The 13,047-nt window shown below is 58.2% G+C and overlaps 1 protein-coding gene and 1 long non-coding RNA gene across 3 annotated transcripts in view, besides 1 other annotated feature; one reads left to right on the forward strand and one right to left on the reverse strand.

The window, feature by feature from the left end:
* Window positions 1–13,047, reverse strand: part of SLC67A1-AS (SLC67A1 antisense RNA) — a 16,232-nt gene continuing 3,185 nt past the window's right edge. Inside the window, exons 3-4 of one of the 2 annotated variants that reach the window (NR_169304.1) lie at window positions 12,053–12,447; window positions 1–1,292 (exon numbers count right to left, since the gene is read on the reverse strand). This is a non-coding gene — a long non-coding RNA (SLC67A1 antisense RNA). The remainder of the gene's footprint in view (window positions 1,293–12,052; window positions 12,448–13,047) is intronic. The other variant, NR_169305.1, reaches the window with a different exon arrangement.
* Window positions 4,492–5,291: an enhancer, noted in NCBI's record as "H3K27ac-H3K4me1 hESC enhancer chr11:2913065-2913864 (GRCh37/hg19 assembly coordinates)". NCBI's record gives its function as "activates a minimal SCP1, AML or CMV promoter by ChIP-STARR-seq in primed H9 embryonic stem cells {active_cell/tissue: H9 hESC(primed)}" and the evidence as "EXISTENCE:reporter gene assay evidence [ECO:0000049][PMID:30033119]".
* The window catches only part of SLC67A1 (solute carrier family 67 member 1), a 25,556-nt gene continuing 24,856 nt past the window's right edge, over window positions 12,348–13,047 (forward strand). The window contains exon 1 of the mRNA NM_183233.3: window positions 12,348–12,463. The gene's annotated coding sequence lies outside the window, so the exon portion shown is untranslated. The remainder of the gene's footprint in view (window positions 12,464–13,047) is intronic.

A 13,047-nucleotide genomic window follows, 5' to 3' on the forward strand; every position in this document is an offset into this window, starting at 1 on the left:
TTTATGTGCAATTTCATATTCTTCTCTGTGCACAATTTACAAATTTCCCGCAACAAGCCCAGATGTCACAATTTTCATCTTAGGAAAACAAAGAGAAGCTGAAGAAGGCTCCCCAGGCCCTGCGAACCCCTCAAGCAGGGCTCATATCAACTGGCCTGGGGGCAGAAAGAGGCAAAGTCTAGTCTGCTCCATGCCCCTATGCTGCCACCTCCCCAGAGACTAGGAGCAAAGGGCTAGAGTGGGTAGTGACCTAGAGGCCCCCGGATACCCACACTCCAACCATCAGGACTCATTGGCCTTGGTGACACCACTCAGAGGGTGTAGCTGCCATCATCCTGTGTTATAGAAGAGCAGCAGAGACCGCGTCAGCCGCTGAGGCCGCACAGCTGGAAGGAAGCAGGGCTCAGAACTCCCGGGCTGCCTGGCTTTCTGGTTTGGTTTCCACTTAGGTTTCCTACTTTTATTTTTCCACTTTACCAGCTTAATTACAGAGTCAAACCCAGTGCTGTGGGGATTCCTCCGTCTTGGCCTCGTTAGAAGCTGAGAGGTGACCTGCTCTAAGTCTGTCACTCTGAATTCGATCAAAGATGGTACCCAATAGCATTTTAAACCTGCACGTCCCAGGAGCGGGGCTGTGTCCCCCCAGCCCAAGCCAGGGACACACCTGGAGGAAGGCACCCCAGGAGCTGGGGGCTGGGAGTTCCAGGCTCTGAGAGGAGGCCCAATGGGCCCAGAAGCAAGCAAACATCTGTCTAGGTGCAACAATCAAGCTCTATTTTTGTAATTAAAAATGTATCCAAAGGGAAAAAAGAAACAAAAGGAACAATATTTGTACTCTATGTTGCTGCAGAGAGCAGAACTGCGGAGGGGGTGCTAGTCCCAAGGGGTGGACTGTGCTGTGCTAGTGCCCTAAATCCTGCAAGCGCGGGGTTGGGGGGGCGGGGGAGACCGCTGTCGGGGGTCGTGAGTTCCGGGCCCTTGTGTGCATGTTCACGTCCTGTCATTCTTGCCCCCAGCTGAGAGAGCAGTAGAGGAAAGGCACTACATCCACCAGCCTTTGCATTCTCCTCGGAGCACACAGAAAGACATTTTCCAGTTATCTTGCACACAAGTGGGCGGCGGGACCCGTTTTGGCCGGGAACGTTGTCAGGAACGCTGTACACCACTTCCAGGCGGTCACGTCCGAGCTGCCCAGGCAGTCCTTCTGCGCCCTCTGCTGGCCAGATGGAGGCTGCAGACCCTGCGGGGCCATCAGGAGAGAACCACCAAGCACCCTCTGCACACCGCATTGCCTGTGTTGGGCACAAAGAATAAACTTTTATTGCATCTTAACCCACTAGAAATGTAGGCTTGTCCATCACAGTGGGGCGTTACATACCCTAATACATAGGGAAGGCATAGGTAGATTTCAGTTGGCCTTTTACAGACAAGGAAACCAAGGCTTGAGAAGATTCAAACCTTACTGCAGCCATGGCTCACACCTATATACCCTCAGTACTTTGGGAGACCAAGGCAGGTGGCTCGCTTGAGCCCAGGAGTTCCAGACAAGCCTGGGCAACATAGAGAAACCCCATCTCTACGAATATTTTTTAAATTAGCTGGGTGTGGTGGCACGTGTCTGTGGTCCCAGCTACTCGGGAGGCTGAGGTGGGAGGATTGCTTGAGCCCAGGAGGTTGAGGCTATAGTGAGCCGTGATCGTGCCACTACCTCTAGCCTGGACGACAGAGCAAGACGCCCTCTAAAAAAAAAAAAGAAGAAGAAGAAGAAGAAAGAAGAAGAAGAAAAAGAAAAACTTGCTGCCCAAGCAGTTAAGGCAGGATTAACCTGCAGCCCTCACTGCTGTGCGTTCCTTCTAGGAAAGACCCAGAAGCCAGAGAAGCCTAGGTCCCAATCCTGGTGGATCTTCGTGCTGGAATCGTTAAGCCAGCTGTTTCCCAGGGGCCACCCATGGGCCAGTCCTCACCACAACCTCATGGGTGGTCGGTCAATGTCGTAGGCCCGCTTTACAGCCGAGGAGACAGAGGCTTCCAGAGGCAAACACACTGGTCCATGAGTAGCAGAACGAGGGTAGGCCCAGGAAGCCATGTCCTTGGCCACATGTGCTTTCTGGCGGGTGACCTCCACTCCAGTGCCTCCCCGGCTGCCCGAGGCCTCCCCTTCCCGGGTGTGGCAGCTGTACAGCTGCCTTGTCGGCATGTTCATGGCCCCATCAGGAATGTGTGCCGCAGGTGGCTTCACAGGGCTAGGAATGCCCGTCCTAGGTTAGGCCCAATCCCTACCCAGAGCCCCAGGGAACCCAAATTCTGGGACACAGGACACCCGGCCAGTGGGCCAATGGCCCCTATCAGGGAGTGACCAAGGACAGGCCGGGAGCTCTTCTTTCCCCTCTGACCCATGGTGAAACCTGCCTCGGGCCTGTTCCCTGGGTTCTGAGGCCCTGAGCTATCTGTCTTCAAACAAACGAAGGCCTCAAAGAATGTTCCATTGAGCCATGGGCCCCATATCACCCATCAATCACAAAGGGCTGGGGATTGCAGGCACAGGGTCAAGGTGGGTAGGAGGTGAGGGCTGGACACCATCTGAATCTGTGCTGTTCCAGGGCCCACTAGAGAGTCTCCAGGTACCCGGAGCCTGCCCTCAGCAGTACCACCCTCCCACAGCACCCCAGGGACCCTGCAAGAGGTGTCTGTGCCCTTCCCGGCTGCCTCCCCAGCTGCTCCCCAGGTGGTGCCCTGTGGAGAGGACCAGAGGGATATTATAAACAATGACAACACTTGCTGCCTTCATCTTGTGCCTGCTCAGGGCCCTGCCCTAACCCAGGGCTGGGCTCGTTGCCTCATTTAATCCTTCCAAGACCCCTGAGAGGGAGGTGTGTTCGTGCCCATTTTGCAAGGGAGGGGACTCAGGCTCCCAGAGGTTAAGCCACCTGCCTGAGGTCACTGAGACTTGAGGTTGGCCCTGCCTTTCACCCAGCCTGAGCCCCTCCATAGGACTTCTGTGAGGGCACAAGAAAGCAGGAAAAGAAAGAAGTCAAGGGCCCTGGGAATCTCCCCTGACATCTCCCACCCCAAGCCCTAGAGCCAGGGCTGGGCATCTGTGCAGGGTACAACCCTGCCCAGGGATGCCTGACTCTGGAAAGGCCACCCCTTTGGCCTCAAACCACATCACCCAGCAGCAGGTCCTCAGACCAGCCCTGGACAGGAGCTTGACTGGCTGTGCCCCCAAAGGCCCCAGAGCTCCCTGCCCCCACTGAGCCTCCACCTTCCCATCCATAAGATGGGGTGGGGAGTCATCCAGCCCAGAGGCCCCAGGGGCATGGGGAGTGACAGATTAACCCAAGGCCCCCCCTCCCGCAACAGGCGGCTCAGCACACACTTGGCGGGGGGCCATGCTGGGCCAGGAGAGCTCCCCCGCACCAGTTCCCCGCGCGCAAGGCTCGCCCCGCCCCCCAGGACAGGCTGTTCTTGGGGCGGCTGCCAGGCACGTCCTCCGCAGGTGCCGGCCTCCCTGCGGTGACGTGGCCACATGCGGCACAAGCTCCGATTACAGGGACTGCCTTGTGCTGGGGGTTCCGGCCAGGGGTCCTCACTCCCCAGGAACCGATGGGCGGAGCTGGGCAGGCCCTGAGGAGAGGCCCAGTGGGAATAGGGAACAGTCACCCCTGCTCCAGAACGGGACCAGGGGCTGCTTCCCTTGGGGTCTGGAAGAGAGGGACCCCCTGGTCCCAGCCTGCCTGAGACTGCTGGTTTCGGCACTGAATGTTCCAGGAAACCGAGGGCCACTGGTCATCGTGGGCTTCACACGGCGCCTTTCTGGGCTAGGAAGGGGGCTCCCGGGCTAGGAAGCAGGTACCGAGGAGGGTCTCAAGGACATGTGGGGACCTATGTCAGACACCCCTGCAGCCAGCTCTGAGCCCACCAGGCCTTTCCTCCTCTCCCTGCCAATCCACAGGACACAGACACAGGGGTCCCAGGCCCAGTGGCTCACTTTATCAGGGAAACAGCAGGAAAAACAAATCTGGTGTGAGCAGATCTCCCTTCCCACCAAGCCCCCTGACTTCCTGCTGGAGCTCGGGGAGACCCCTGTGACCAGCATCTCCTGCCTACGGGGGGCGCCAGGGCCTCAAAGCCTCTCCAAGCCACTCCCTCCCACCCTGCTTTCCACACCCAAGCCACAGCGTTCAGAGAAGCTCAGGGCCTATTTGAAATGCCAGAGAGTGGGGATGCCTCCAGAGAGGTGGCATGAGGGCCCCCAGATGCACCCCACCACTCCCTCCTCCACTGCAGGAGGAGGGGCCTGCAGTTACTGAGGAAGCCTCACCCCTACTGGGCCCTCGGGGGTGAAGGGGCTTCCCAGGCCTTGAGGGAGACTGTATTTCAGATGTCAGTTAAAAGCGCCTGCTACATGGCGTGACCTCTCTGAATCCTATTACTTTCCTGTGCAGGAAACTGAGGCCCAGAGAGGTGGAGTGACCGGCCTAGGGTCCCCCAGCAAGTCAGAGACAGTGAAGCCACCTCCTGCCCTGGGCTGGGGTCCCGCCCCACTGACCTCCAGGGTCAGAGAAGGAGGGGAGCCCCCAACACTTAACTCCTTCCTTCTTTCCTTCATTCCTTCCTCCCTCCCATTCTCCACCTCCTCCTGGCTGAGCTTTGAAGCCAGGGCAGTTGGCCAGACCGAGCGCAGAGGCCAGGAGGTGACGGCAGGCTTGCCCTGGCGGCCTCCCAGGTTAACACACTCCCAGGTGGCTGCACCCCACAGGCGAGGGCTGCTCAGAGTAGATGCTCAACCAAGAGGTTGCCCGTGCCCCCTTCCCCAGCCGCAGGGGCAGCCAGAAGCCAAGCAGCCTCCCGCCCACTGGAGCCTGGAGCCTGAGGGCTGAAGCTGGGCGCCTGCTGCCCCCTGGCGTCCCGAAACGGCACAGCCACCAGGACCCCCACCCACCTCATTCATGCCTCACACCTGGGGGTGACTTGGGCCAGGGCCTTGCTCTCTGGCCCCGAGTCCCCTCAAGTGTAAGATGGGGGCTCTGCCCAGTGTGGCTGTCCGGGCTGCAGCGGGCAGGAGCGCATTTTTCACAAACCCCAACACCCCTCGGATCTGGGGGTGGGGCGGTGTCACTCGCACCTCAGTGGGAAACAGCACGTGGGCCTCGCCCGTCTCCAGGGGGTGGGGGAGGGGAGACAAAGAGCCCGCTCTGCGGAGAGGTGGGTACCCGCCCTGCCGCCCCTCCCCCATTTCCTCTCTGCTCCCCCTGCCCCTCCTCCCCTCCCTCCTCCTTCCTTCCCTCCTCATCCCCAGCTCCTCCTCTTCCTCTTCCTGCCCTATCCCCCCGCAGGCCCGGCCGGCAGCCCGGCGCCCTCTGCCTTCGTTCCCGCCATTGGCGCTGCTGCCCGGAGCCCCTAGGTGACAGCCAGCCCCGAGGCTGCAGCCTCTGTGTCGGGCCTGCACCTGCCCACCGCGTGGTCACTGCCTGGGCACGTATGGACACTCACACCCTTCAGTCCTGAGCACAACTGTGCCCTGGCTGCTTCGGAACAACAAGGAATCATAGTCCTGCTTCTGGCTGGGAGCTGGGGGCCAGCAATCAGGGCAGCTGGGGAAGTGGTTAGGGAGGTGGCGGCACACAGGCCGAGCTCAGAGAGTGAGCAGAGAATGGGCCCAGGGGAGGGCGCTGGAGAGGGCTGCAGGGCTTGGGGCTGCAGCTCAGGAGCTGGCTTCACCTTGGAGGCTATCAGACCTGCTCCTCAGCATTGGCCCAGCAAGGGGAACAGTATGGGGAACAGGGGACAGGCACTGCCTGGCCAGCAGCAAACAAGTAGGCTGTGGAGTTGGGCAGAGCATCTGCCTCTTACTAGCTGTGTGTCCTTGGGCAAGTTGCTTAACCTCTCTGTGCCTCTTCTTTCTCATCTGTAAAGCTTCTGATGAGGCTTAAAGGGCAAGTCAGTATGTGCCTGGCACAGCGGCCTTCCTCTTGAGGATGCCACTACCCTCACCATCATCAGCCTCTCCCTCCAACCTAGAGGGGCAGGCAGGGCAGAGAGCTGCCACTGGCCACCCCTCCAGCTGTGCTGTAATGAAAACTGGACATTCACTCTATACCCAGAGATGTGGGCTGGCGGGGAGGAAAGGCACCTACACCCCTGCCATGTAAACAGGCAGGCAGGGTGAAAGGGGTTTGGTTTGTTTGTTTGTTTTTTGAGATGGAGTCTCACCCTGTCGCCCAGGCTGGAGTGCAGTGGCACGATCTTGGCTCACTGCAACCTCCGCCTCCCAGGTTCAAGCAATTCTGCCTCAGCCTCCCAAGTAGCTGGGACTACAGGCGCCTGCCACCACACCTGGCTAATTTTTGTATTTTTAGTAGAGACGGGGTTTCACCATGTTGGCCAAGCTGGTCTCAAACTCCTGACCTCATGATCCACCTGCCTCAGCCTCCCAAAGTGCTGGGATTACAGGTATGAGCCACCGTGCCAAGCCTAGGATGAAATGTTATCTACATGATGAGCAGTTTGGGCAGTGAACCCCACCTTTGTCAGAGTTCAGGACAGTCCATGGGATACAGGTCACTCCGACTCTCATGCATCAGTCTTCACGCCAGCCCTGAGTGAGCACTGAGGCACACGTGCCTAGCACCCAGCAGTGGCCCCATCCCCTAGCTGCTGGTCAGTACCAGCTGCCACTGCAGCACACCCTTTCTGCCAGGCAGCCTCATGCCATGCACTTGATGTGCAAATGATCTTGTCTAATCTTCACAAGCATCCCGTGAGGCAGGGATTAACGTTGTCCCCATTTCACAGATGGGGAAACTGAGGCTCAAGAGTTCCAGACCCAGGCAAGCCCTGGTCAGTGGTGAAGATGCCAGCCTGGTGGGGCTGGCTGCAGAGTGCTGGGCCCTGTCATAAGCACAGGCCTCTGGCACGCATGCTGACTGCTGGGGATTTTAAGATTGGGGCCCCCCTGCTGAGCCCTATCTACAGCTGCCCCCTTCCCTGGGTTACCCCAGGTTTTAATTTGAAGCAGTTAGTGAATTGAGCTTATGTGGGGTCTTATTTGTATTTGCTTTTGGGTTTTTGCTTTTTGGGGGAGTTTTTGGGTTTTATTGAGATAGAGAGTCTCACTCTTTTGCCCAGGCTGGAGTGGAGTGGTACAATCTTGGCTCACTGCAGCCTCCGCCTCCCAGGTTCACGATTCTCATGCCTCAGCCTCTCAAGTAGCTGGGATTACAGGCATGCGCCACCACACCCAGCCAATTTTTTGTATTTTTAGTAGAGACAGGGTTTTGCCTTGTTGGCTGGGCTGGTCTCAAACTCCTGGCCTCAAGTGATCTGCCAGCCTCAGCCTCCCAAAGTGCTGGGATTACAAGCATGAGCCACCTCGCAGGGCCCTGTATTTGGGTATTAGCCATGGCAGCCTGGCAGATGTTGCTGAGGGTGTCTGGGCACCTGGGCCTGGGCTTGGCGGCCTGAGCAGTGCCTCCTCCTCAAATGTCAAATTGAGGCCTGGACTAAGGGTGTCTGATTTATGGCCTCACCTGTCTGTCCGTCCATTCAGCAATATCTCCCTGGGACCTCAGGGGCAACTGTGCCTTCAGGGGCTTCCGGGTGGGCAGGCAGAAGCAGAAATAAGTATACAAGGCAGGGTGGTGCCCAGGTTGTATGATGAAGGAGGGGACGGGGGATTTTCAGGGCAACGACTTGTGCCAAGATCCAAGGATGGAAGGGAAGAGACGTACAGGCAAGGGGACCATTCCAGGCAGGGGACACAGGCAGAGACCCATCCAAAGATGAGTGCAGGGCAGACAGTGCTTGAAGCTGGAGCTCTCTATCTCTCATGCTTCTTTGGTTTGCAAAATGTGGCATGATCCAGTGGGGGCTGAGGGGCCAGGGCTCCAGGGCTGGCTGCCCCAGGAACACAGCAGTGTCACCAGAGGTCCAGGGTGGGAACCACCAGAGTTTTAGAAACTCACCCAGCCATGTCCAGGGTGCCTGGAGCAGGGAAGGGAGGCTGCTACACCTCACTGAGATGCCAGTGTGGCTGCCCCCGGTGGAAACCAAATAGCCAGGCTCCCTGAAGCTGCCAGCAAGTCTAGGGGCAGGGAGGACAGGTGAGAGCTGAGAGGCCTCCAAGGGTCAGAAGTAATTGCATGGGTTTTGCGACTTCTCCTCTTGCTTCTTGGAAATCCTTCCTGCTTCTTTCTGGATTCCCTACTGAATTCTGAAGGTTCTAAAAGACCTGGAGGCTGGGCACTATGGCTTATGCCTGTAATTCCAGTGGGAAGATCACTTGAGGCCAGGAGTTCAAGACCAGCCCAGGCGACATAGCAAGATCTTGTCTCTATAAAAAAAAAAATTTTTTTTTAATTAGCTGGGTGTGGTGGTATTCATCTGCAGTCCCAGCTACCAGGGAGACTGAGGCAGGAGGATCACTTGAACCCAGGAGTTCAAGGTGGCAGTGAGCTATGATCACACCACTGCACTGCAGCCTGGATGACAGAGCAAGACCTTGTCTTATGAAAAATAAAATAAAGAGAACATGGATGTGGGTTGGATGGTGAGAGCTTGGGGCTGTCCTTTGTTCCTGGGTGGGGGAAAGGGACTGGGACCAAAGGAGGCTGCGGTTGAGGGAGACGTGTGTACCTAAGAGATGGGCAGTAGCTAAGCTCCAGGCCCTCGGGCAGGTGCCTGTGGGGGGACAGAGGCACTGGTGGCCATGCCACCCATCCTGCCTGAGTTTCCCAGTTCTGGCTGGTGAGCAGGTGTGAGGCTGCTCTCTCAGGACCCCGTTCGGAGGCACATCTCTTCCTGATCCCACGATGCCCTTCACATGCACACACATGCTCACATGCACACATACACATGTGCACACACCCCACCACAGCCCTTGCCAGCCTGGGACCGCCAGCTGCTGGCTCCTCCCCCTGCCTCCCCGGATGGACATCCGTCCTTTGCAAGGGCTGTTCTTCCTTCTTCCTTCTTCCTGAGTCCTGAGGTCGGGCAAGGCATCCCTCAAGGGAGTCCACAGGTTGGGCCCACCACCCCGCAGTTCCCAGTTCCTATGCCATTGCCTGGCTACCTCCCCAACCTCCACCATCGTCCCTTCCTGCCTCCAGGTCAAGGACCGGAGAGAGTCCCTCTGGCCTCCAAGGGTCCTATGAGGGGAGGGTGACCCAGTTTGTCCGGAGCTGTCCCAATTTTGGCATGGGAAGTCCTACATCCCAAAACTCCTCAGTCCCGAGCAAACCAGGTCTCCCCCAAGCAATGAGTGAGCTTCCTAGAGCAGGGTCCCAGCTCCACCACCCATCTCCTCTGGTCCCTTGGCCTGTGGTATGAGAAAGGGGACGTGGGCTACTCCAGACTACACTCTCACTGTCCCCCAAAGGCCTCAAGGGCTCCAGTCTTCAGGCCCCACACTGGACGCCTCCCCCATGCTGCCATCTGGGCCTTTATCTCCTTCAGCTGTGGCTGTTGGCCAGCGTGAACACAAATACGTGAACCACAGCCCACCATGTTGGAGCCCCAGGTCCAGGCCCACAGTGGAGCCCAGTGAGGGGAGAGTGCTCACCCATCCAGGACCACAGGACTCTCCCCAAAGCCCATAGCACGTTGCTGCCCTCCCTCCATTTGGACACTGGTGTCAGGGACTGGGCCCTTGGCCCTAAGCCCGTCTGGGTTCCCTGGTTCACTAGAGGCCAGTGGAGAAGCCCCTGTTGGCAGAGCCTCCTCCGGGGCCCTGGCCCTAAAGGCCACAATTCCACACACCTCTCATGGGATGTGTCTGAGCCCAATGCCCAGCCCGGCAAGAACCAGCCCTGGATGAGGTCCAGCCCCTGCCCCTCCTCCTAGAAGTCTCTGCCCAACCTCCAATCCCAGAAGCGCATTCAGAGTCCAGTTCTAGAAGGTTCCTCAGCACCTGACAGCCCACTTCCTCACGTGCACCTGCACAGCCGGGGCCTAGCAGATGAGAGACAGCATGGGCACCACCAGGCCCCCCGCAGGGCTACCTGGCAAGCCTAGCCCCTTTGGGCTGAAGGCTGACCCCTGGGTCCCAAGGATACCAGGTCAGGGGGTGAAGGACCTTTGAACCCAGCCTCCCAGACTCTTAACCTGACACCTCCCAGATGAAGCCGAGGCCAGGCACCCAGTGCCCACAGCAGGCTGAAGGCCCCTCATAAGGCTGTGATTCCCAAGACAACACATACAAAGCCTGGGGTGCTGGGACAGAGCCCCAGCAGGGTGTCAGACACAGATCCCACTGTGGGATCCAGGCAGCCCCCATTGACCAAGGTCTGCAACCGCACCTCACCTGGCTGAGAAGGTGTAAGGTGGGCGGGAACCGAGGTTCGGGCGGGCAGGAGTCACATCCAACCCTGCCTCCGCTCTAGTCCCGCCCCAGGCAAAACCTTGTTGGCTTTATTGAGACAGGTCCTTGGAGAATCATAGGAGTAAGAGTACAAAGCCTCAAGGAGAACACGTTCACTTCACCCATGGAGTAATGGCGAAGGCCAGAGCCCTCCCCGCTCCTTCCAGATCACCCTTCTGTCCTCTGCAGCATCATGGAGTAATGGTGAAGGCCAGAGCCCTCCCCGCTCCTTCCAGGTCACCCTTCAGTCCTCTGCAGAATCATGGAGGGATGGTGAAGGCCAGACCCTCCCCGCTCCCTCCACATCACCCTTCCGTTCTCTGCAGCATCACTCTTTTAAATCTTAAAATTGTAAACAAAGGTTCTCTCTCTTCATCCCACTTCCCCTCCAGCCACAGTCCCATTTCTCAGCCCCCTTTTGGTGCAAAACCCTTCAGAAGGGTGTCCAGCCCATTCCTCCTGCTTGAATCCCGAGGGTCAGCCCCCATGCTCATGACGCTCTTGCCAAAGCCACCAGTGACTCCAGCTCTCGGCCCCAGGGAAGCTCCCAGGCCTTCACTCGCTTACCTGCCTCTCTCTCCAGACCCAGCTCCTTTATTTTTCCCTCCCTTTCCCTGGTCAGAACCCTGGGCACCTCCTCCTCATGCTGGGGTCCAGCCTTGGCCCTTGGCCCCTCTCCTCTCTAGCCCCATCCACTCCTGGTCATCTCATCCAGGGTGGGAGCTCTAAACAGGACATGAGTGTCAATGACACCCTCACGTCCAGCTCAGACCACATGCCGCAAACTGCACACTGCACACTCTGCCCTCTCTGCTGGCCCACAGGCCCCTCCCGTGGATGGACCTGCAGGGTTGCCTCCCCTCATGTCGCCCCCAGCCGCACCTGAAGGCCCCCTCAGTTGGCCCTCTCAGCCCAGGCCCCAACCAGCAGGAAGCCTGTCAGGCCTCCTTCCAGGGAGGTTCCAAACCTGCCCCTCAAATCCCCCCATGCCCCATCCAAGTCCACACCACCTCTCATCTGGACCACAGCAGAGACCTCCTGCACTGCCCCTCCCCTCAACCCCTCATCAGCACATCAGCCAGAGGCTCCTTGGAGAACAGAAGGGGCTCAGAACCCTGCAGCGGCGTCCACTGCACACACAGGAAGAACTCAAGTGCTCATAGGCAGTGAGTCATTTCCTTAGGCATTGTGGTGACCCGGGATCATGTGCCTCCCCGAAGCCTGCACATGCACTCTAATGATGCAAGCTACCACCAGGCGGTCAGCTTTGCCAGCTGACGTCCCAAACAGCTGGCATGGGGCATGCACACAGTAGGTGCTTAATAAATGTGTGTCGGGTTAAGATAGGCCCAAAGCCATTTCAAATGTCCAGGCAGTGGTGTAGGCAGGGGTCAGCTCTGAAGCTGGCCTCCTCTCATTCGGGAGACCCCTCAGAGGTCCCAGCCTCCAGGATGCAGTGTTCAGAGCAATACTTCTCAGTGCACGTCTGGCTGTGTCCCTGCCCAGCGCTCCCAGGGTCACCCCTCTCTCTAGACTCACTTTCTGCCCCGTCACCCCACTGTACACCCTTGGTCCCAGCCCCTTCCAGTGGCTCAGCTTCCTGAACACTCCAAGCCTGGGCTCACCTCTAAGCCGTTATCTATGCTATTCTCTCAGCCAGGATGCCCTTCCCATACCCAAACAATCCGTGCTCACCTTTAAGACTGGCTGAGGCATCACCTCCTCTGAGAAGCCACCTCTCCCAAACCTGAGCCCAGATGAGCCAAAGCCCTTCCTTCCTCCAGTCAGCCTGGATCCTCTCATCCGGCAGAACTGTCGCCTTGCTTCTCTGAAGCGGTGAATGCCCTGGGGCTGGGGACGCACAGGCTCGCTGGCCCACAACCAAAGCCGCTTCCTCTGGAGGAGGAAGTCCAGGGGTGCCAGGGTTCCACTTGCTTTCTTCTTCACCCAGCCTAAAGGGCAATTTTCCCACATTCCCTCAGAACCAGGAAGTTCCCCCATTCACACTGAGCCTGTTCATGACAAAAAAAAAGGTCTCTCCGATTTCCTCTGCTCAACCAGTTCCCTGGCTACCTGAGGCCCTGCTTCACCTGGAGGAAGACAGTGGTAAGTTTCCAGCATCTCCACCACACCTCAGCGCCAGAGGACCCTCAGCCTCCCTCGCACACCTCTGGGCAGTTTGGTAACTCATCCCATCTCCTCCTGCCGCTTCATCCTCTAAGCCCTCCCCAGGGAACCCAGGAGGCGTCTGGAACCTGTTGGGGACAGTCCCTCACACCTGCCCCATTGAGTAAGGGTTCATGTGGATGCCCATCCTCCCCCAGGAGTCCCAAATCTAAGACACTCTGAGACTCCTGTCACCCACCCCCACCTTACACAGCCGGCCTTTCTGTGCAGTCCTTCCAGGAAACTCTGGCTGGACCTGGGCTCTCGGCTTGACTGCACTCTCCCCAAGTCCCCAGGGCGGCCAGTGGTGACTATTCTTGAAAACGAGCTTGGCAGAGGATCTGGGGACACGCACTCCAGATGCAAACACGTTTGCACTCTTTGGGCTGGAATCCCCTCGAGCGGTACACTGCACCCGTGGGCTTGCTAAGAAACCACCTCACAGAGGGCAGATTGATTGGACAAAAGGCATTTGGTCCCCAAATTGATTGACGTGTGTGAATGGGAGTTTTCAGAACAAAGAC

Source organism: Homo sapiens, chromosome 11 (genome assembly GCF_000001405.40).
Source record: "Homo sapiens chromosome 11, GRCh38.p14 Primary Assembly".
Taxonomy (NCBI): Eukaryota; Metazoa; Chordata; class Mammalia; order Primates; family Hominidae; genus Homo; species Homo sapiens.